The sequence below is a fragment of the Homo sapiens genome, chromosome 6 (genome assembly GCF_000001405.40).
Source record: "Homo sapiens chromosome 6, GRCh38.p14 Primary Assembly".
In the NCBI taxonomy this organism is placed as follows: domain Eukaryota; kingdom Metazoa; phylum Chordata; class Mammalia; order Primates; family Hominidae; genus Homo; species Homo sapiens.
In genome coordinates, this window is record NC_000006.12 from 42,342,059 (window position 1) to 42,367,073 (window position 25,015).

General features: G+C 44.6%; 1 protein-coding gene across 52 annotated transcripts in view; it reads right to left on the reverse strand.

Annotated features, from left to right (window-relative positions):
• The window catches only part of TRERF1 (transcriptional regulating factor 1), a 227,294-nt gene that overhangs the window by 117,128 nt on the left and 85,151 nt on the right, over positions 1–25,015 (reverse strand). For 27 of the 52 annotated variants that reach the window (XM_047419067.1, XM_047419061.1, XM_047419048.1 and 24 more), the window contains one exon: positions 20,939–21,021. The gene's annotated coding sequence lies outside the window, so the exon portion shown is untranslated. Of the gene's footprint in view, positions 1–3,350; positions 3,400–20,888; positions 21,022–25,015 lie in introns of all 52 variants that reach the window. The other 25 variants (XM_047419066.1, XM_047419062.1, XM_047419053.1 and 22 more) reach the window with 2 other exon arrangements.

Sequence of the window (25,015 nt, forward strand, 5' to 3'; positions counted from 1 at the left end):
AGGAACTGCATCCAACTCATTTATTCTGCATGTGTCTACTGGGCTCCCCCTGAGGGCAGAGGCCCATGCCAGTGCTCTGAGGAGGTAAAGATTCCCACTGTCCTGAGCAGAAATGAAAGCCCAACACGCAGTTGCTGATGACTGTCCCTTCCGCTTAGGGCATTCAGTTCATCCTAGCTTTCCTGGGATTGTCTTGGTTTTAAAGTTGAAAGACCATGTCCCAGGAACTCCCTCAGCCCTAGGCAAACTAGGGTGGTTGGTCACCCTATACTTTGGCTTGACCTGGGGTCAAAGGTCACCACTGGACAATCTCCACTGTAAAGGAGATGGCAAATAGTGGGTATCCTGCAACTCCAGCCCCTACTCATGGCAGACATTGCTAGTAGACCCAAGAGTCCCACATCCTTCTCACCTCTGTTCCAGGCAGCCACTATTAATCACCCTGAACAGGAGGCCTGGGAAATTAAATCTATTTTCTAACTATGCCTGAGAATCACAGAAGCTCCAGGCTCAAAAAAAAAGAAAAGAAAAGAAAAGAAAATGCTGTCAAAGTCTAGCCTAATCATCCATACAGTGCTTAAATCCCTTCTACAGTGTTATCCACAAGTGGCTAGCCAGCTCTCCTTGCATACCTCTAATGATGGGGACTCACTGTCTCATAAAGCAGTTCTTCCTGTCTTCAACAGTCTTGGCTGTAAAACTCTTTCCTTGAAGTTACTAACATGTCTCTCTCGTCAGTCTCTTTTTTGGAAACCACATGGTGGCCCCTCAAGTGACGAAGCACAGTTATTAAATTGCTCCCAAGTCTTCTCTTTTCTAGGCCCAATTTCTCCAACTGTTACTCACATGATTTGGTTTAAAGTTGGCATGCCATCCTAATCTAATGACCCATCCAAGGCCTCTCTGGGGCCAGGTACTCACACATGGCTCCCACACCAGTCACCTTGTTCCTGGTGGATTCTATGCTCTGCTATAGTATCTGGCTGCCCCACCTCACATTGACTCATATCAACACCCTGATGCCATTTCTGAGCCTGTTACTGTTGAGCCACAACTCCATCCATCTGTCACTGGGCCTCCCAGGAGCTTACACTCCATCTGGAGAGTCCTGGGATATGAGAAACCCACAAGATGGTAAGAAAACATAATATAAATTATAGACTGCCAATTTCCCAGTTACAAACAACTCGCTCTAAAGGTTTGCTTAAAAGTAATTTCTTTAAAATGCTGATAGCATGTAGCCACAAGAAACCATATTTAAAATGAGGGTTAGACTCCCAGGTCAGCCCACAAAAGCCTTCTGAACTCATAATGTACCTGCCGCATAAAACTAACAGTGTTATTTTAACTCTATGTAGCCACCATTTATAAGATGGTTTCCACGGTGACATGCACTCTGAGATCCATTTCAGAGAACTACACAAAAGGTATACCTGGTGTCGCGCTGCTCTATGAGGTTGTAGGGGGAGCCTGCTGACCTCGGAGGAGAACTGACTCTAGACACTGGTCCTCCCAACCCCCTTCAGGCCACAGGTCCTTTGAAGTGTGTTATCCTAAGGACAGAGCGTATGTGCACAAGCCTGAGTGAGCTGTGAGGCTGCAGCCAAGAGAACTTCTGGAAGGAGGCAAGTGATAACAGGTATGGGGTTTGGTTGTATGTGTTTGTGGTGGTGCTGTTTTTCAACAATCTACTACAGACATGAGGATAGGGGTATTTCTCAAAGTCAGAAATGTAAAACTAGAAAAGTCACAAATTGTCTTGTTCTTCTCTGAGCCTGTAAGCAGGATCTTTATAAGCTGGCACCTACAGTGCTAAGAGGGTAGGGGGAGGAAGACGGACTGACGCATAACTGACCGCGTGGGGAGGCCAGCAGAGCTGCTGAGCCTCAGTTCTTGCCTGTGGAAGCTTCAGCCATATCCTTCCTTATTCCTGCCCCAACCATCCCTTGGCCCCAGGCCGACAGAGCAGGCAGGAAGGCACTGCATGGAATTGGAGGCCAACGCTTCCTGGGCATCCCACCTGAAGGAGAAGGAGCTGCGTTCACCTGGAGAAAGGCAGGTGCTCCCAAGGACCGAACTGCTTGGAGTCTCAAGGCCAGACTGGAGACCCTGCTCCATGCCCCCACTATTGTTCCAAACTTGTTAACTAGTGCTGTTAAACTCCCCAAGCCTCAGCTTCCTCATCTCTAAACTGAGCAGAATGTCCTCTTCGCAGGTCAGGTGCCAGTAGTAACGGAAAGGCAGTCATAATAACAGCTGAACTTTCTGAGCTCTGACCAGCACTGCTCTATGCATATCACTTCCATTAACTCATTTCAGCTGTACAAAAATCCTATTATTTTGTAAATGAGGAAACTGAGGCCCAGAGAAGATGAGTTATTTACCCAAAACCGTGTAGCTAGTAAGCAACGAGGTCAGGAGGATAGGTAAAAAGCTGCTTTGGAAACTGTAATATGGTATATAAATGGTGGTGATCATTACTGTTAACAACTAACACAGGAAAATGCTTGAGTGCTCAAGCCCGGGCCATCTTTTCTACCACAAGGCATCTGGGCGGTTCCTGCCCAGTGCTACTAAGACTCTGCTAGGATATCTCCTCCAGCCCCAACTGCAGATCAACCCAAGCAGTCACCTTGGCAGGACATGCTGCTTGCTAAATGTCACAGCCCCCCACCAGATGCTTGCTCAAAGGCTGCCACTTCACCTGACCACCTGGATGAAAACTGCAAAATGCACCCTACCCACCTTCTTTGTCTTATTTTTTTCCCACAGCACTTATTACCTTCTAACCTTCTACATATTGTACTTATTTGTTACTGCATGTCTAGCCCAACTAGATTACAGGTTCCATGAGGGCAGGGAATCTTCTCTGTTTTGTTCATTGCTATATCTTCAGCACCCAGGACAGTGCTGGACACGTGGTAAGCATGTGGTATTTGCTGAATGAGTGAGCAAGTGAACCTATATTATCATGGAGAAAATGTCCATAATATATTGTTAGGCAAAAGAAGGCAGGCCTGCCTCTAAATTCTATATATAATGATTTCATCTCTGTAAATGCATTACTGTGTCTGAGCATGTGTGAGTGGACAGAAAAAAATGTCTAGAAAGCTACACATGAAAATGTTCATTGTGGTTCTTTCCAAAAGGCAGGAGCAAAGACAATTTTAACTTCTTTCTAAATGTTTTACAAACACTATGTACTATTCCTGTAAGTTTGTAAAGCAATTACATTGGAAAGCAAACACATTTGTGCATGTGCACACACACACATACACACACACGGGAGAAGCATACATTGGTTACAGAGGACCCGAGCAAGAGGTGAGGCCCAGTGACAGCTTACCCACCTTCCCAACAGCAGGCTGGTGCAGCTTCTTCACTCACAGACCGGCAATGCTGAGAGAAATAACAGAATGAGGTTTACACAGGCCTAGGACTCAGCAGCACCTCCTTCAGAACTCCTCCAAAAAAGGAAAATTCTAAAAACCAAAAGCTATTTCACTGCCTCTCCAGAGCAGTCTTGGAATTATTTAATCCTCTGTGTTTGTTTTTAAATTATATTAGAATGTTCCAGAAAATGTAAAGCTAAACTAATACATAAAGTGCAGTCTTTTGCAACTAAAAATCCACTTTGCATAAAAAGCCTCATTCTCCCATGCCAGTATTAAACTGGAAGTCAGGATAACTGAATTCCACCCAAGATCCTAGGCCTGGCTTGGGGCACCGTCTTGATTCCTGCCCTCCTTCTCCATTCTGACAGCATATTCTGTATACAGGTGCCCATAGGAAACCAACCCAGTGACTTACACATCCCCTGTCACCTGTAAATCACCGAGGTGCCATTAATCAACAATATGCATCCAGTGAGGGCCAACTCTGGGCCCAGCATGGGCAGGTGCTATGAGGTGGAAAAAAAGGAAACAAAAGATAAAGTCAGCCTTCAGAGAAGGACTAACACACAAGAAACAAGGAAGAAAACAATTGCACTCCCTTAACGGCACAGTGCTTACTATATGTGTAATGAGAGTTCTAAGAAAAATGAGGTAAGTGTGGGCAAGAAGGCTGCGAGGAAGAGGGTGGGCTCATGCTCAGGCTGAGCCAGCAGCAGACCAGGGTGCTGAGGTTGGAGACAGGAGGTGGACCTCAGCACCTGTCACCTCAGGACTGTGGGCAGAGCCACCCCAGCCACTACCGATTCCCCTGCCCCTGCCTTCCAGGCAGGGGGTGCTGCTTTGACCAGTTAATCGGTTGCCCACTTACTGAGCACCACGTGTGCACAAACAGCCTCCTGCACAGGGGGCCGACTCCCCCTGAAGGCAGATGAATTCTAACTCTCTGTGACAGAAGCTTTCACATCTCAGTTGATTTCAGGAGCCAACCAGAGCCAGAGAGGAAGAGAAGCATGTGCATCTATGTCCAGCTCCAAGAACTCTGGTCAATCCACAGCGATCCAGAGCAATGCTCTAGAAAGGCCTCTATTAGAAATGCAAGCAAGGCTCAGGTAGAAGCAGTGGAGAAGGCAGAAAGAGGAGGAAAGAGGCCAAGTCAAGGACATTGCAAAGGGAAAAGGAATTTCAAAAGATGGCTTTGCAGGGGGCAGAAAAGAGAGCAAGTGGCATCTAAAGAGACCAACCATCCTAGAACTCAGGACTTTCATACTAAAACCAGGACAGTCCCAAGCAAACCAGGACGAGTTGGTCAACCCAGCCATACCATCCTCAGGGATGCTATGAAGTTGCCTGATAACTGGGTACTCTTTCTCCCATCCTTTGTGGAACTGTCATTGCTCGTTAGCACCCCTGGGGCCAATGGAAAGGAAGAAGTGGTCAACCCAGGGAGGTGACTACTGTGTCCTTCCTGCTGTCCTCCTGGCTTGTATCCTCTCATCTCAACCATGGAGGTTTCCAAAGGGGCTCAGGTAGAATAAAATGCTTTATTGCTGTTCTTAAAATAAAACCTAGAATCACAGCCACTATCCTTTATTCCACTGTTTCACAGACACGAGCTTATCAGCCATCCAGTTGGGAGAGGACCCCATGTATCCCTCTTGGAGAAATAAGCACCTTATCTGTAACAAACTTGGAAATCAGAAGAAGCTGGAGGGGTTGGCACACTCAGCTCTTGAAGCCATCTCCATTCATTCTCCATCTCCCTCTTCCTTCTTAGAGCTTCAGTTCCCACCCACCTCTCCCAAAGGCAGGCTCTAAGAGAGTACTCCACCCACATAATCTGTTCATTCAACGAGGATTTACTGAGCATTTACTATGTGGCAGAAAGTTTGTTAGGCAAGATTCAGAACACAAAGCACAATAAGACACAATCTATGCCTTCCAAGAATTTATGGTTCAGTTGATGGGGAGAGGGAGTGGAGGTGTGGGCAAGGATGGTGTAGAGGTGAGAATCATTCAATTATTCAACACATATTTACTTTCCTCTTAATATGTGCCAAGAACTGTACTGAGAGAATGTAGATAAGTAATGGAACAACTGCAAAACCATGTATAAATGCTGGTCATGTCGGAGACCTCAGGACAGCAACCGCCCCAGCCACCGAGGCAAATACCAACTGATCACCGCTTCTCCTTCGCATGGCAGTATGTGCTGTGGAGGACTAAAAACAAAAGAAAAGCGGTAAGACCAAGCCCTGACCTCAAAGAGTGAACCAAATGATCAAGGAGATAAAACCCCCACAAATAAAGCAATTCGCAAACCACCAGGTATGGTGAAGAGCTAACTGTGGGACACAGAACTTCAGCACAAGGAGCAACAGAGCTGGACAAAGTCTGCAGAGCTTCCCAGAGGGAGCGGAGGTAAAACCTGAGAAGTAATACCGAACGGGGAGCATTTTCCAGGCAGGAAGAACATAACAGGTATCTGTGATTTTTCTCAAAAATCAAAGGTGAATGTATAGTTATTACTGAAAGTGTTTCTAAATGGCACACCTATCCACGCATCTTTGGCTTGAGTAAATAGGAACCTTGCCAATAGTGACCTTCACAAATGTGAGTTACACTGGAATAGAAAGATGGGCATCAAATCTAACTTCAGCTGTCCACACTATGAAGGTGGGGAATTGAAACATACTTAACCCTGTAATGCAAGTCAGTGTGCACGTCTGTATAAACATACACACACACACATACACACACACACCCATACTTCCCTGGCTCTTTTTTTCTTTTTTCTTTTTCTTCTTTTTCTTTCTTTTTTGAGATGGAGTCTCACTCTGTCATCTAGGCTGGAGTGCAGTGGCACAATCTCAGCTCACTGCAACCTTTGTCTCCTGGGTTCAAGCGATTCTTCTGCCTCAGCCTCCCAAGTAGCTGGGATTACAGCCATGCGCCACCATGCCCAGCTAATTTTTTATTTTTAGTCGAGACGGAGTTTCACCATGTTGGCCAGGCTGGTCCCGAACTCCTGACCTCAGGTGATCCACCTGCCTTGACCTCCCAAAGTGCTGGGATTACAGGCGTGAGCCATCGTGCCTGGCCTCCCTGGCTCCTCTTTACAGGTCTACCCTCAAGCTAAACAAATTTCATCCTTCTGTTAGAAGAACACTCCATAACTCAGAGAAAGAGAAACTGAATTACCGGGGACGATCCACGTATTAATAACTGGGAATCGACCACATTGGTTTTTGCTATAATGATATTCACTAAGTATGAGCAGAAAGGCCACCTTTGGTCTAATGGTACACTGGTCACTCAATAACAAGTTAACAACCATTGACTGACTATTTAATGAAGAACACTGCAATGGTGCTAAAGGAATGGAAGGGAGGGAGCAGTGGGAAAGATTAGTTAGAAGGAAGGCAGGATACAGTGAAAAGAAGTGGAAGACTCACGAGATAGTGAGTCTGGTCCCAGCTCCACCACTGCAAAGTCTTGAGTAAGTTGATCCCACCTTTACTTCCGCATCCATGAACATGTCCTATCTATCTCTCAGGGTCATTTATAGTTGAAATGAGGTAGTGTAAGCCTAAGTGCTTGGAACTGCAGAAGGCTCTGTATAATGCACCGTGAGGATTTGGAGGTACCTACTTCCCCAGCTTCACTAACTACCCTGTCTACTTTCCCAAGAGTCTTCTGAATCTCTCAATTTGTCCAATCCTCTCAGACAGTAACTGTTTCAGGGGAGCACAGGGGCCAAGGGAACCCAGTCAGGGGCAACTAAACTCAATTCCAGACCTTTGGGTGGCCCATCAAGGAAGCTGTCTTTTTTTTTTTCCACTGGAAAAACTGGTTTTGGGGCATCTCAGCTGAGCCCTGGGTAAAGCCTCACCTGAGGCCGGAATCTACCCCTAGATTGTTCAACCACATAGGCCAATACATTTTCTTCTTCTGCTTGAACCAGTCTGGGTTGGTTTTCAGGTAATCAACTAACTGATAGGGAATGAATGAAAATATGGTTAAAGTAATGCTATAAACCCTTCTAACTCCTCACGAAACCTGTGGCTCCATAAGCTACCCAGTGAACCATTTCCTACCTGGTGTCCTGAAGGAGGTGAAGATATGAAAAAGATCACTCAAGGAACAAAAAGAAGAAAGACAATCATAAGCAATAAAACCAAAGTGATTACTGGGTCTGCCTTTATTTGCTTCCTATCTTCTAAGACCAGGGAGGGTCACAGTGATGGAGGGGGTAAAACCCTTCAATGGTAAGCCAAAGAATTAGTGTCTATCTCAGCTCTGCTTCTGCCTGTTTTCTCCAGATGTTTACCTATTCTCTTTCATGGTAACCGCCGAAGAGCCCAGAGGAACAATACCAATATCCCACTGATTTATTTTATATCTTAAAAAATTACTCAGGTCCTGCAGTACTGAGCTCATGTTCAAATTAAGTTTGCTGAAAATCTAATTTGGGATGAGTAATTTAATTTGGCTACTACAATTAAAAGTGGTGCAGTATTTGTGTTTTAGAGGAAAATCGTATTAGATTCACCTAATCTTATTAGTGGACTATCATATTTAGATTGCATTCTATCTGGAACAGATACATACTAGATTGATTTCTTTCATAAATCATTTGGGAGACCAAAGGGACTAGACTTCTCCCTGCTCCTTGACCACCCACCCGACGCAGGTCAGTGCAGTCAGTGAATGCAAAAGAGGCCTCACTGAGAAGCCCACTGCACAGCTCTGGAATTCACTCATCCAACACATCCACCTAGAACAAGCCCTCACGTTTTGCAGATGAGTAAATGAGGCCCAGAGTGAACATGTGATTTGCTTCGGGTCACATGGTCAGTTAGTTAGTGACAGAGCTAAAACTACATTTAATTTCCCTGCGCCACAGTTTGTGTCCCTGATGCTCCAACACATGTGTTCTTTATAAGCTCTAACACGAAAAATGGCCAGATGGCCCCTGAGGCCCCGCTATTACTCACTTGGTTAAAGCATGGAGTCATCAGATGCCACCTCTCAGCCTGCCTCTCTGCCTCTCTGAAGTTCCTAGGGAAGGAAAGGGGCATGGAGAAGCTGATCTCACTATCTCCATGGATAACTTAGACCAGTGCCCCAAATCCTTCCTGTCAAGTCCATCTTCTTGATGACGAGTTTAAACCCCCTCACTCCCAGGTAACAAAAATTCACATTAAGGACATTCAAACCCTATGACAGGTCAGGAAAAAGAGTCTGGTTTGCGTTTTAAAATGTTATTAATCTCAGGAGTACTGTTAACTGGGCAGACTCAATGGGTATAATACCACACATCGGGGCTCCAACTGCAGAGTTTAACCTAAGAAAATGAGGTTATGAAGCAAAAACATGAAAATAAGCTAGATAAGAACACTTGCAACATATGACAAGTGAATACACACACCGCATAAAAATCCCTTGTACATGATTTTTCAAAAGATGGAGCACTGCAAAATAAAAATGAGAAAAGACCCAAAGAGGCAATTCTCTCTCTCTCACTCTCTCCCTCTCTCTCACACACACAAACACACACACACACACACAGATTACTGATGGCCTCATGAAAAATGTTCAAATGCATTAGTAAGCAAAGCTTGCAAACTGAAACAACACGATACTATTTTCAACGATCAAATTGGCAAAAACTGAAACAACTATAATGTTCACGATAGTCAAGGATGCCCTGAAATAGAAATCCTCAGATGCTACTGATGACTGTAAATTAGTCCACATTTCTGAAGGGCCATCTGGTGATATGGATCACTAGCCTTAATACTGAGTTCACTCCCAAGAATATTCCCTGATGAAATAATCAGAGGAATACTCCAAGATTTATGTGCAGAGACATTTATAGCAGCAATATTCATACTAATAAAAATCTAGAAAAATCCAATGGTACTGTAATAGAAAAATAAAGAAATGATACATCAATACAAGGAATAATATGTCGGCTTTAAAACTCATGTTTTTGAAAAAGATTTAAAGACACAGGGAAATGTTCACAAAATTATGCTAAAACTCAAAGCTATTAATAGGATGGTTCTATTTTGTGAAGAAAAATATATAGCATATGCATTATATAGATCATGTGCTTTATAAATACAGTATCTTCTGGCAGATTCAGCTAAATGTCCAACAAATATTTATGCTTCTCTTTCCAGAGTGTGGGATTTTCAGCAAGAAGCAGCTGCTCAGTCAGGGGCTACATGCCCCAGCACCCCTTGTATCTAGGTGGTGCCATATAACTACTCCCACCAATGGAATGGAAAGTGATTTGAGCACTTCTAGGCTGAGGGAGGTGGAAAGTGATGTGCCTTCTCCGTGCTCTCTTCCTCCATCTGCCAAACAGACACAGGGGACTCCAAGACCCTAGGGAATGGAAGAGCAACCAATGGAAGGGGCCTGGGCTGCTGAATCACTCAGGGCAGGGCTCCACCGGTGGAGTGACCACCAGTCTGAAACACCTATGTTGGACTGAGTGAGAAATAAACTCTATTGTGTTAAGCCATAATTTGGTGCGGGTGTTGTTGTTGTTGTTGTTTTTGAGACAGGGTCCCAACTCTGTCACACAGGCTGGAGTACAGTGGCATGATCATGGCTCCCTGAAGCCTCAACCTCCCAGGCTCAGGTGGTCCTCCCACCTCAGCCTCCTGGGTAGCTGGGACCACAGGCACACACCCATGCCTGGCTAATTTTTTATGGAGATGGGGTTTTGCCATGTTGCCCAGGCTGGTCTTGAACTCTTGGGCTCAAGCCATCCTCTAGCCTCGACTTGCCAAAGTGCTCGGATTACAGGCGTGAGCCACTGCATCCAGCCTCATAATTTCGTGCTTTAATGGTTTCCTCAGCTAGTGTTACCTTAATATGCACACACAGAAAAACTACTGAAAGGAAAACAACCAAATTTTATCTGATGCACTGTATGTTAGTCAAATTATAGGTATATTTTTAAAATGTATTTGATTTGACCACAAACATATCTTATTTGGTAACCAAAAAGTTACTGAAATAAAAAAGCAGACTTTAGGTAGCAGTGTTATATGGTGAAATCTTAAAATAGTGAATATGGTTACAAACATTAAAATGTAGAAAATTACAAGGGCTCAAAGGAAAAAAAATCTAGACGTACAACCTTTAGCAAGATCTACTTAAACAATTCTGGACAAATGATTGTACAAAAATGAACCAAGGTTAGAATCCTTTAATATGTAAAGAGCCCTTGTGAGCCAATTAAGTGAGAGATAAATATAATAACTGGGGGGGAAAGACATAATCACTTAGTTATAAAATATGAAACGTAAATGATATATAAAAAGATTTTCAAACTCATTAATAATCAAATACATGCAAATGAAAATGAGATCATCTTTATCTCTTTATCAGATTTATACATTTAAAATATTGTGAATATAGGATCCAACATTGCTAAGATTATCGTGAAATGGGTAATCATATACACTGAAAAAAGGAGTTTAAAATTGTATCATAATTCCAATGAGTAATTTGGCATGACAACAGGAAAAAAATGCCTTAGCTTTCCCAGGCAGGGTGCAGTGACTCAAACCTGTAAACTCATCACTTTGTAGTCCTAGCTACTTGGGAGGCTGGGCTTGAGCCCAGGAGTTCGAGGCTGCAGTGAGCTGTGATCACACCACTGCACCTTGGCCTGGGCGACAGAATGAGACTCCATTTCAAAAAACACAAACAAAAAACAACCAAAACCCCCTTTGATTTTCTAGATATTTGTTGAAAGAAATAATTAAACAAGTATGCAAAGTATACACCAGAGTTGTTTGAATAGGAAGATGGAAAAAAAAAACAACTCAGGGCCGGGTGTGGTGGCTCACTCCCGAAATCCCAGCACTTTGGGAGGGCGAGGCGCATGGATCATCTGAGGACAGGAGTTTGAGACCAGCCTGGCCAACATGGTGGAACGCTCTCTTTAGTAAAATTATAAAAAATCAGCTAGGCGTGGTGGCGGGTGCCTACAATCCCAGCTACTCAGGAGGTTGAGGCAGGAGAATCACTTGAACCCAGGAGGTGGAGGCTGCAGTGAACCAATATCGCGCCATTGCACTCTAGCCTGGGCAACAAGTGTGAAACTCCACCTCAAAAAACAAAAACAAACAAACGAAAAAAAAAGACAACTCAGCTATCTATCTGTAAGGAGCTGGTTAAATACATTATGATATATGTGTGTTTGTGTATTCATGTACTGAAACAATGTACAGACATTAAAATTATGCTGAAGATCTAAATGAACAAAGCATAAAAATGCTCATAAGGTAAAAAAGCAGGCTATAAAGCAATTCAAGTAGTATAATTTCTTTATTGTTTAAAAAATGTGTGTGTGCGTGTATACATATAAACATAGTTATAAATGCATAAGAAAAGATTATGGGAGGATTTTAATAAAAATCGTGATGGTAGTTCTGGAATTATATATTTGCTATATTTTATAAGCTTTCAACAATGGATATGTATTACTTTAATTTTTTTATGTTTGATTGTGAAAAATTTCAAACGTACACAAAAGTAGCTAGAATATATGTACCCATTACCAGCTTGGATGAAGATCTTCAGGGGTCTCAGTGTAAGAGCTGGAATGTGGCCAGAGGCCCTTTGTGAGGCATGGGTGGGATTGGGGTTTGGATCCAGCTGCCTTGGAGGGTGATTGTGTCAGTGCTTGGGGGAAGGGTCCAGATGCAGCCTGCAGAGCCATGAGAGGGCATATTTCTTATTACTGCTGAATTTGTACATTTTCTATATATTTGTTTAGTGTTGTATTTAGTTATCTACTCAAGTGTTCTAACAAGGTTTAGTACTTTTCTTTTTAATTTGAGCACTTTGCAGTGTAAAGATTAATTCTGTCATATTATTGCCAGTCTTTCCCCAGTCTGTTGTTTCCCTTTTTTTTTTTCACATAAACGCTTCATTTTCCTGTAGTTTGATTGACTATTCTTTTCCTTTTTGAATGCTTTTCTTTTGTTTCTAAGTAATATTCAATGCTATAGATTTCCTATGCCTCTACATTTTGCACTTTAATTGTTTAATCCATCTGTAATTCATTTTGGTGAAGCCAAAATGATTTTTCCCAAATTGTTAATGAGGCATCAGAATTATTTATTGAATAATTTTTCCTTCCCCACTGATTTGTGATGACTGCTTTATGATTTATTAAATTATTTATGCAAGGGTCTATTTCTGAACTATCCTAGTTCACTAATCTACTTCCTCCTTTTATGACAGCACCACAGTATTTTAATTACAAAGACTTTATATTGCATTTTAATACCTCATAGTGCTATATATTTTAATATCCAATAGATCTAACTCCCTTTCCCCAAAACCACTTTCAGAATTCCCCCGATGTTCTCATCTATTTATTTTTCCAAGCAGACATAGAAACATCTTGTGAAATTTAAAACATCCTGATGGGACTTTCAGAGGAATGGTACTAGACTCATGAACTAATTTGAGAAGAATCCAAATCCTTAGTTTCAAGCTCATTATCTAGAAATAGGGTTTTTAGTAAAACTCTTTAAGTCTTCTTCATCTACAACTAAGCAATCTGTAGTTAATAATAACTTTGTCATTTTTCTTTATAATATTTATTCTCCAAGTTACTATTTTATGACTCTCTGCATTGACTAAAACTTGAAGAGGTAACGAGTGATGCCTTTATTGTTTCACCAGTAAGTATATAGCGGCAGTGGGCTGCATGAACCTGATATTCCTTATAATATTAAAGATTGGTCACTTTATATATTCCTCTTAAAGTGGTATATAAAAACTTAAAAACTGATTGAATACACTTTTGGAATTAATGAGGTTATTACATATCTTTATTTGAACAACTTATATGAACCATAGGAAAATATATGTATATGAAGCTATTCCTGCATTCCAGGAATATAATCTATTTGGTTATGGTAGAACATTCACATACTCTATTGTTGAAATCTACTCGCTAGAATTTTATTTAAAACTTTTACATTCCTAAGTGAGACTGGTATAGATCCTCCCTCTGGGGACTTGCCTGTTTTGATATCAGGGCCTTGCTTGCTTGAAAGAAGGATCTGGAAGTTTTCCATCTTTTTTCTCAATCCCGCAACAGTTTATATAACATAGGAATTATCTGTTCCTTGAGAGTTTAAAAGGATTTTCAAAGGCCTTTTTATATCTTAAAATATTCCACCTGGCACAGGGGTGTATGAGTGTGTGTGTGTCCACGTGGACATTACCATGTTAGTATACATTTAGAATGACATGTAAGATACTGATCTCAAATGGAACAGCTCTATTATAATTTATGGCCATTCTTTCCCCCATGAAAAGGGAGTAAATGCCCAAGATGATAAAGTGTTCAGAAAAAAACACATTTTCCCAGGCTTTGGTTCCAAGAGCCTCCTTTTAAGAGGCACATGAAGGTTATAGAAGGTGATCATGGAATATTGGATGTGTTGAACCATTCAAATTTCATTGAGGCTGACCAAGTTGGCAACCACAACTTTACCACTGACATTCGGAACTAGGAAAGCTGAGACCTGGAGAGACAAGGAGAACCTCTGTCTAGCCCCAGGTCACCTCCAGCTCTGTGGTAAAGGTCTTCCAACTTCCCATTTTATTGTGCCATCTGCAGCCTAGGATGCTTCCCCTCTTCCACAACAAGGAACACTTGTCGCTCTAAGGCTTTCTGTACTGCAGGGCCCCTGGACCAGTGACCCTATAAGCACTTCACAGGCACCACAAATAAAGACTCAAGAGTTGTTTCGGACTGAATGTTTCTCTTCCCCCAAATTCCTATGTTGAAGCCCTAAACCCCAATGGGATGCCATTCGGAGATGAGGTCTTTGAGAGATAATTAAGTTTAGGTAAGGTGAAGAGAGTGAAGCTCCCACGATGGGATGGGTGATCTTATAAGAAGAGGAAGAGGAGATTCCTGTCTCTGAGTGCACAAGGAAGAGATCAGGTGAGCACACAGCAAGATGGCTCTCACTCACAAGCCAAGAGAAGAGGCCTCAGAATAAAACTTACCTTGCTGAGCACCTTGATCTTGGACTTCCCAGCCTCCAGAGCTGTGAAAAATAATTTTTATTTATTTATTTATTTTTAAGATGGAGTCTTGCTCTTGTTGCCCAGGCTGGAGTGCAGTGGCACAGTCTCGGCTCACTGCAGCCTTCATCTCCCGGGTTCAAGCGATTCTCTTGCCTCAGCCTCCCGAGTAGCTGGGATTACAGGTGCCTGCCACCACACCTGGCTAATTTTTCTGTATTTTTAGAGACGTGGTTTTGCCATGTTGGCCAGGCTGGTCTCAAACTCCTGACCTCGTGATCCACTCACCTCAGCCTCCCAAAGTGCTGGGATTACAGGTGTGAGCCATTGCGCCCGGCCCATAAATTTCTATTGTTTAAGCAACCCACTTTATGGTATTTTGTTATGGCAGCCTGAGCTAAGACAAGAATGTTGTGGTAATGTCTGTCAAAAAGCACAATGTCGTCTGCCGTGGAGCAAGATATGCCTTGAGAGAAACCAGTGGTAAGGGGTCTGAACAAATTAAGACCCAATGTTGGCTGGGTGCGGTGACTCACGCCTGTAATCCCAGCATTTTGGGAGGCCGAGGCAGATGGACCACGAGGTCAGGAGTTCGAGACCAGCCTGACCAACATGGTGAAACCCTGTTTCCACTAAAAATACAAAAATTAGCCAGGCATGGTGGTGCGTGCCTGTAATCCCAGCTACTCAGGAGGCTGAGGCAGGAGAATCGCTTGATCCCAGGAGGCAGAGGTTGGAGTGAGCCAAGACTGCACCACTGCACTCCAGCCTGGGCAAAAGAGTAAGACTCTGTCTCAAAAAAAAAAAAAAAAAAAAAAAAATCCAGTGTCTGCTAGAACATGCAAGAACTGTGCCATATAAGCATACGAGCACAGATGAGGCTACTAGAAGGACTCAAACGGTAACGCTTTGCCTAAGAATGCGGTTAACAGACAATAACTGTAGGTGTTAGTGTGCCACAGAATGGTCTTCTTTTTATTGAGAAAGCCACATCTGAGATCACGTCCTTGTTTACAGGAGACCCATGAAACGTTAGAATTAGGACACCTTTTGCCAGTCAAGGTGATGAGCATTAGGATAGTCCTGCAGGAAGGCAACCAACTTGCTTTGGCTCCAGGATTCCATGATTCCATTCACAATTTCACACGGGCGAGCGAGCAGTCTTTCTGTCCCAGTCAACAAGGACAGAGGGGTTACTTTCACACCAGTCATGGCCTAACACAGAAGCTTAATCCTGACTGGAAGGCAAAGTGTGTTTGTGGCAAAGCCAGGCAGACGTGTAATGAAAGCAGAATGAGTAATGTTTAGTTAAGCTTCTGGATGGCAGGGGTGGTTGGGTGTATGTTTGGGGATTTTTAATGACTCCAAAAGGCGTCTTAAAAAGTCACACTATTTTGGCAGTTCTGAGATGCAACTTTTGCTACAAGTACTAACACCAGCAAGTGACTGCTACAAGTATTAATACTAGCACTTACCGGCAACATTTCTCACAAGCACCCCTTCCTTTCTGGGGCTCCTGGGATCAAACCAAGTTTTCTGCATATGTGGGGGGTTGGGGGTGGGGTTGGCACACACACCCTTTCCCACCTACAGAGGCATACCATACAACTGAAAGTCAGATCAAATTGAAGACATTTATCATTTTTAGGGTTAAATAGTGGAAAAGGAAAAACTGTTGACACACTTTCTAATTTGAACTACTTAGGTATTGCAAGATTTTCTTCCTGCTGGTGGAAAATTAAACTAACAATTCTAAGTTAATGACTGCAGGGTAAACGGCTCCTTCCTTATAAAATAAATTGGGTTTATCAAAACTTGTATTAAAATGGATTTTCCCCCAACTTTAACTTATAAATCCAATCAAGATATGACTCTAGAGAACTCTTAGGCTCCAAGTGAGGCTTCAAAAAGTAGGGTGTATTTCCCTACAGTTGCACATTCAGCAGCTAACTCCACATCACCAGGTGGGCACCTGACACCTGGAGGGCAAATGCGGGGCAGTGCCCACCCTCCCTTGGTGGAGTTTTCACAGGTGATGTCAGAAAAATAAGAACAATGTAGTAAATTATTCCTAAAGCTGAGTGTTTTCTATTTAAAGATTTTTGTTTTGTTCTTATATTATCTTTTCCTACTACTTTGGCATCAAGATGGTTTTTTCATAAAAGCTTTGTGATGAGTGTTAAGAGTTTTTAAAATGTCCTAACTTGGCAAAATAAAAAAGACTGGGAGCCCTAGGTCAATGACCTAAAGCTTTTTTTTTTTTTTTTTTTTCTCCTAGTGCTTTCTGGGTCCAGGCAATCTTCATTTGAGAACCACTAGTTTACAGCACTCTCTGAGCCAAGGAATTTGGAGTCAACCAGTGCTCATCTAGGTATCAAAATGGTGGCAAGCCCCAAGTGCAACTAACAACCTACAGAAGACGGAAGTCTAACTTTAGTCAACACTCAGGGAGTGGGGATGAAGAATGTAGTCTTCAAAGCTCCTGGCCACTATGGAACACTGTTCTCCTGCTGCACCCTACATGCTCACCCCTCCATCGTCAAAGCCTCCTCCTCCTGGTTCTGGAACAGGTGGTAAAGCTTTTGGAGGCCCTGTGCCAACCAGTGCTCTCCGCACCGTTAATCTGGGAACCCCAAATCAAGATGCTTGACCCTCCTGGGATTCTGAGAGGTCAGCCCTGTGGCACCAGAGGCTTTCTGGAATGATTCATCATATTGTCAGCTGAAATTCTACTGAAGTGGATGCCCAAGACTAGTTTCTCAGTACTGCAGTATCTCACTCAATCCCAGTGATCCGAAAATCCATCCATCCTCCCAGGACAGTCTGACTGTGTAGCTGGTTCAGGAAACCAAAGGCAAGCGGGGGTCACTCATCCCTCCAGAGCCTCCAGACTGAGAATAAGGAAAAAAATCGCTAGGTGCAGTGGCTCACGCCTATAATCCCAGCACTTTGGGAGGCTGAGGTGGGTGAATTATGAGGTCAGGAGATTGAGACCATCCTGGCCAACATGGTGAAACCCCATCTCTACTAAAAATACAAAAATTAGCTGGGCGCGGTGGCGTGCGCCTGCAGTCCCTGCTACTCGGGAGGCTCAGGCAGGAGAATCACTTGAACCTGGGAGGCGGAGGTTGCAGTGAGCCGAGATCGCACCACAACACTCTAGCCTGGTGACAGAGCGAGACTCCGTCTCAAAAAAACACCCAAAAAACCAACAAAAAAAACCCCAAAAATCAGCTGGGATAGGTCATGAGGTCATGACAGGCCATCAACTATTTAAGAGATTTTTCAACTAAGAATATAAGAACATATTGCCATAAAATTTTAAAATCCCTATATTCTAGAGGTTCTATCTATTTTCAGTTGTATGCTCCTTAAACTTATCTGTATTTAGGCTTCCCCCAAAATGAATTCTAACAGAAAAAAAAAACTTCGGTAAAAAAAGAATCCATAAACACTAAATATTTTAATACCTTTATTTACCTCCTCTCTAACAGAACTAATCAGCAGCAGATAATATATTTGTTACGAAGAGAATTAATTTTCTAGTTAAACATGCACATAAAAACATAAAGGTGACAATATTTGGCAATATATGACACTAATAAAGGTAACATTTATTGGGCTATCCACTGGGCTAAGCGCTTGACTCAGATCACCTCAGTTAATCCTTACAGCAAACCTATAAAGTAGGTGCTATTCTTATTTCCATTTTATAGATGAGCTTATAAATGAGGAACCTCATTACTGTAATTTAATCTTCACCAACCCAGAATTTGAGTTCAGTGTTTACTCTGGCTATTAAAAGGTTGAATAAGCAAATTAGAAATTAAACGGGATTTCAGAAGATATATTTAACCTACTAGAAGGTCGTACGTTTTAAGACATACTGAAAAACAGATGCTAACTGCTTCCAACAGGATGTGTTTGGGAAGATCCTGCCTGACACTATACCACATTAAAACACTTGAAGATTCAAACTTTTACTAGTTAAGGTTGAGTGTCCTCTCACTATTATCCCCAATGACTGGTCCAAGTTAGTAAGGTATTATTCTACTTCTATGGGTGGTACAGTATGGTGGATGTCAGCTGCGGCTCCCAAGTTCTATTTCCCTCCTACCCTGACAAAGTGTCCAGAACTCTACACACCCCCAGCCTCCCCACAGCCTGGTGCAGGAGCCAGTCTGGTGCAGAAGCCAGCCTGAGGATGAACTGACCCAGGGAGGAAGGAGTGGAGAGATTAAAAAAAAAAAAAAAAAAAAAAAAAAAAAAACCTGGATGGTTTAGGATACTGCTGAGCTGCTGGTTCACACCCACCCTGCAGTCCACCCTATCCCTGCACATGGCAGGTACATGAGCTGATTAATCAATTCATTGTGCCGTGGGAGCCCCTGAGTTAGGTTTTCTGGTATTCAGAATTAGGATTTTTGGTAGTCAGCCTGAAAGAATCCAAACTGATAAATGGGAAACGAGCTTCTATGGCCTGAATGTTTTGTGTCTCTCCCAGATTCATGTGTTGGAATCCTAATCCCCAAAGTGATAGTGTTAGGGATGAAGCCTTTGGGAGGTGATCAGGTCTTGAGGGTGAAGCCCTCATGAACAGGGTTAGTGCCCTTATTCAGGAGGTCTGAGAGAGCTCTGGTCCCTTCCATGACGTAAGGACACAAGAAGTTGTCAGTCTGCAACGTGAAAGCAACCCTCACCAGAACCTGACCATACTGGCACCCTCATCTCAGACTTCCAGCCTCCAGAACTGTGAGAAATATGATTTGTTGGTGGTTATAAGCCTCCACATCTATGGCATTCTGTTATAATAGCCCAAACAGACTACGATGTGTGTGAATCCACAGTCTCTTCCTGGCACTTACTCAGATTTTGTTTTATGTTGTTTTTTGGGTTTTTTTGTTTGTTTGTTTTTAAACTGTTTCAAATGTTTTGTGTTGTTTTTCCCGAGAAAATGTAAGGGGCTTTCGAGAAACACTTTCATGAATTAATGAGTGGCCTTGGGCAAATCCCTTGACTTCCCTGGGTCTTTTCAAGTCTGAAAAGGACTGGGATCTCCGTTGCTCCTACCATCCCTCACAGCCGGCACATCTACGTAGCTGACCTCACAATGCAAAGTTTCACTCAAACATACACAAAAGCCTCTTTTGGTCTAAAGTAGAAACGTCCTTATAATCCAAGTGACCTGCAACTCTTGACTCTGTGAGACTGTTCCCATTCGCTCCGCAGATCCACCCTCCATCCTCCTTCAGGCAGCTCTGCCCCACAGAGGCTCTGCCCTCCGTGGACAGCATCCACCCAGTTCCCTTGCCTTCTGGCTCTGACTGAGGCTGCCTAATGGGAGGCACTGGCATCAGGAGATGGGAGATCCAAGGGGTTCAATAAGGATATTTATTCTTTTGGCTCCTTCCTGGCCATGCTGCTGTAGGTTGATTGCATTCCTCTACCAGGGACACCTCTCCAGCTCCTGTTTCCCATCCCGACAGCCAGTCCCTCCCTCTTCCTTCCAGGCACAGTAACAGCTCCCTGACACTGCTGGCCCTGGGTGCTTCAGCATCCCTTCTTGGCTTCTCTTAACTCTGCCTGCATCCTTATAAAGACTCCCTTCAGTAGACGCTCTTCAATTACCCCATTTGCACGAGCCACGTGTTTCCGACTGGAACCCCGAGACACAATGGCTTTAAAATTAAATCAGAATCAGGCACAATAAAAAAGAAACCGAAGCAATCAATTCTGAGCCTCATACAGGAGGAATGGAAAGCGTGGCACATGCCAAGAAAACAAAACCACACACACCGAAATAATCAAATCAGATACCACCCCCCTTCCCCACTGTCGCCAAGAATGTGTGGAGGATGGAGCCATCTCTTGCCGGATCAGGGTTTACACCTGAAATAAAAGCTTAAAATTCTATTTATGCACAAACTACTGACCCTTGAAACAGCTTGTGGGAGGCCCGGCAGAGGAATCATAGCTGTATGCCCATTTTATGGAGGGACAAACTGAGAATGGAAGGGATCATGAGGCCAGACCTGATAAAAACGCGAGGAATGCCCCAGGGCCAGCTAAGGCTCCTGAGTCCAGCAATCCGCCTCTGGCAGGCTCTGTGGAGCTTCCCACAGTGGCCTTCTACACCTCCACTGCATCCCAGACATTTTTAAATCCTTCTAAACACTTCTAGAACTACCATCCATGGACATCCATTGGATCCTCAACTATTTACAACTCTGCAAAATCAAGAGACACCCTCCGCCCCATTCCAGAAGCTGCCAAAAACCATTATGTGAATCCACAATCCCTGACCATTTCCCAGAGAAAATTTTCTAGAAATTAATGGATGTCCAGGCCCAGAGCAGCCCTCCTCCACTTCCTGGGGCATTCTCCACACCATATGGGTCCAAGAAATGGTCTTACGACTGCTTTGCTGTAAAATATTCCAACACCAAGAACTCCCGAGAAGCGACCTGTTTGAGGATGAAGAGGCTGAATCTTTCAGGGTCGTCCTGCTTCTGCGTCTTCTTCCTTCAGCATTCTCCACAGCCAGGGCCTGCAGGAGTGACCCAAAGAGCACAGTCAGGACATCTGGCTTCAGCATGGGAACAGTGAGTATCAATCAGGGAGAGGTCGGAGGAGTGACCTGGGATGGAGCCCTGAAGAACCCAGCAGCTGATGGGCCCACCCAGGACGAGGACCCAGCAAAGGCTGCTGAGGAAGGTCCCGGGGGAGAAGAGGACTTAGGAGACCAAGACGTTCAACTTCATTCTGGTTATTCAGGCTCTAAACCCAAGTCATCATGGCTTTCCTCTTTCCCTCACACCCCACGTCTAATCCATCAGCAAAGGACGCCAGCTTCAACGTAAAGTAATATCCAGACCCTCACCGTTTCTCGACACCTCCACTGGTACCACTTTAGTCCAAGCAAGCAGCATCTCTCATTAGGTTATTGTGATAACCCCCTAATTAGTTGTCCCACTCCTCCCCTCACCTTTCTATAACCATGTCTTGGGGGTTGAACTGTGTCTCCCCAAGATTCCTATGTTGACATCCTGACCCCTAGGATCTCAGAATGTGGCATATTAGGAGACAGGGTCATTGAAGATGTCATATTAGGAAACAGGGTCATTGATGATATAAATAGTTAAGACGAGGTCCTACTGAAGTAGGATGGGGGTTCCTAATCCAAAATGACTCTGGTGTCCTTATAAAAAGGGGATATTTGGAAGATTGGAGGTTTTCTGCCACAAGCCAAGAAGCTACCCAGAGTTGGAAAGGAGCCCGAAACAGACCCTTCCCTGGAGTCTCCAGAGGAGCATGGCCCTGCCAACACCTTGATCTTGGACTTGCAGCCTCCAGAGCTGTGAGACAATAAATCTGTGGTTTAAGCCACCCAGTGTGTGGTACTTGGTTATAGCAGCCCAAGCTAACAAATACAGCATGCTCCCCAGAGCAGCCTAAGTGATCATTTAAAAATCACTCTTCTGCTCAGAACACTCCTGTAGTATTTCATCTGTATCAAAGTAAAAGCCAAAGTCCTTGAAATGGCCACAGTCCACATGACTTGGCTGGGCCTCCTCCCTGATGGACTGAGACACCTGACCTCTTCTCCTCCTACTCTGCCCTTCCTCCATTTCCTCCAGCCACAATGGCTTCCTCAAACATCCAGGCAGGCTCCTGCCTCAGCCCTCCATACTTGCTCTTCCCCATCCCTGGAGCACTCTTCCCCCAGGCATCTGTCACTTCCTACAGGTTTCTGCTCTCACGTCCTTTGCAGTGAGGCCCACCTCAAACCCCGGCCCCCTTCCTAGCCTCCTTCCCTGTTGTATTTCTCTTTGCAACCCTTATTACCACCTGACATTTATTATTTTTTTCATCCCCCTTTCCCCACTTCCCTTAGACTGTAAATTCCCTGAGAGCAGGGACATCGTATTATGGTGTGCCCAGAGCCTGGCACATAGTAGGTGCTCAAGAAATAGCTGTTGAAAGACTTTGTATGATGGAATCAAAGAAGCCAAGAGAAAAGAGAGTTGCAAGAAGGAGGAAGCTGTCCAGTGTCAAAAGCAGCAAAGAGCCCAGACAGATAAGGACTGAAGTGTCCGTTGTGTGTGGCAACATGGAAGCCGTGGGTGACCTTAGAGAGGGCAGCCCCTGCAGAAGGCAGGAGGCCTCTGCAGCAAACCCACCGGGTCCCTGCTCTGGACCAGGCATAAGCCCCCACCAGTGGAGGCCAGCCTGCGTGGGCTATGTTAGCGAAGGCAGATTATTTCCACACATCCATCTGTAAGGGGAGGAGAAAAGAGAAGGTAAGGCTGAGGGGTGTGAAGGGCTGAGGAAGTTGCTGCTGCAGGACTGAGGCGTGAGGTCCCAGGGGCCGCAGGAAGCATGGGGATCCCTGTCCAGGGAGAGGGTTCTCTCTGGCCAGGAGGAAGGATGTCTCTTTCTCTGAGTGCAAGGAAACCAGGTGGGAACGAGCCCAGATGCAGGTCAGCACACAGGAGGGCAGGTGGGAACCTGAGTGGGCTCGCCGTGGAGTAATATTTTCAGTGAACACAGAAGCCAGGTTGTCTCCTGAGTGGTGAAGGGCAGACAGGAGAGGAGGCTGGGGTGCACGTCCCACTGTGGGTATCAAGTGCGGGCGTGGCCCTGAAACCCAGCACCTCCTGACGTTTCTGCCCTAGGTGGCTTACTCTCTCACCCTAGTCCACACCCTGACTGGAGACAGCCAGCTGCTGGCCAGTATCCCAGAGGGCCCTGCTCTAGCCAGAGGCCGTGGTTTCGTAGAGGCACAATCTGCATGGATGTGGGGTTTTCTGTGACAGCCCTCAGTAGCCAGGGTTTAGGAGGAGAAGTTCCTAAAGCTGAATTCAAAGGCCCCAAGCAGTTCCATCTCTTTCTGTGAAGGCTTCATCATTCTCCCGGGCTCCCAGACTCAGAACCTCATACTCCACTCCCCTAATCCCTCCCAGTCACAAAACCATGCCTCTTCCCGCATGAGAAGATTCATTATTCCTTGAGCACCTACTAAGTGCTGGGTGTGTTACAAGTTAAAATCCTCAAACAAGAGTCCTGTGAAGTGTTTTTAGCCTCTATCTATAGATGACAAAACAGGTTGAAAGAGATGAAGTAATTTGCTCAAGGGCACACAGGTAGCAAGTGGCAGAGCTAAGATTTGAAACCTTCCACTTCCCTCTCGTCTTTTCTACATACACTACCACCACCCTAGTCCAAGTCCTCAACATTTCATTCCTAACTCTTGACATGATAAATGTCTCCTAAGTTACCTCCCAGCACTGCCCATTTACAGTTCACAAATCGAGACGGATCTTCTTACAGCATTGCATTTACTAATCCCGGCTCCATGCTTTGGCTTTGGAGGCTCCTCAATACAGGAACATTCCAAGCTCCACAGCCATCCCTTGGGATCCTTCATAAATGGTGCACATCTCCTTCTTCAATCTTGTTTCCCATGCGTACCTCTGCTCACCCCATCTGTAATCCCCTGCCCAGTCCATGCACCCCGTCAAGGTCCTAACACCCAGCACATTCCTCCCCTGCAGCTCTGCCCTCTGGCCACCCAGCTCCAGCCCTCTCCTGCAGTCTGCTGGGTGGCACCAACCCAGCTTACCAAGCTCTCCTGGCTCTTCTGAGCTCACTGCATCTAGCTTCTCTGGGCAAGAGCTCCCTGTGCCCATGTGGACTGCCAGCTTCTTGAGGGCAATGAATCGTGTATTGACAATGCTTGCAACTGCCCGCTGCTCAACACAGTGTCTCAGTTATTTGATCCACAGAACAATTCTGATGCTCAGGTGATATGATTCCAGAAGTTTTTCAGAAAATGTAGGAGAACCAAGATGGCCAAGTGAAGAGACACAGGGCCTTCTTGAAGCTGGGAGGCATACCTATTCTTCCTGTGCAGGAGGCACCAGAGTCCGGCACCTCCTAACATCCACTCTAACGGGGAGGAGGATGGCTGGGTTTGGCTCCTCCCTCCTCTTCCTGCACCTGCATATTCAAGGTCTTGGTGTCCTTCCTTTACCACCCTTTCACATGCTTTTGTAGACATAGATAGATATACTCTCTTCTTCCTTCTTCAAGGGAGAGCTTGAAATGTGAGAAATCCAGCTGTGTGGAGAAGCTCATGGTGACTGGCAGAACAGTCAGGACTGGGCAACCAGAAGCAGGAAAAAGAATATTCTATTTTGGGAAATGAGGAGCTGGACTGATCCACTTCGATCACCAGCTATGGACCACCATCTAACAATTCTGGGATTCCCAGAGCCACAAGAGGGAGATGCCTGGGAAAGGTGAAAATCAGCAAAACACTCAAGGGCCATCTGATCACCCCAGGCAGACAGGCAGATCTGGGTAACATGGGGCTGAGAGAAAACCACAGGTTTCAAGGGGATGCTGTCACCAAGATGCCCCATAAGAAATCAGGATCTGCCCAAACCAGGGGCAACCAAAGGGGCATTGTACTCCTCAGGACTTAGCTGAAGTCACAGGAGCACTGGAGTCAGGCCTGCGATCAAATCCTGACCTCGTCA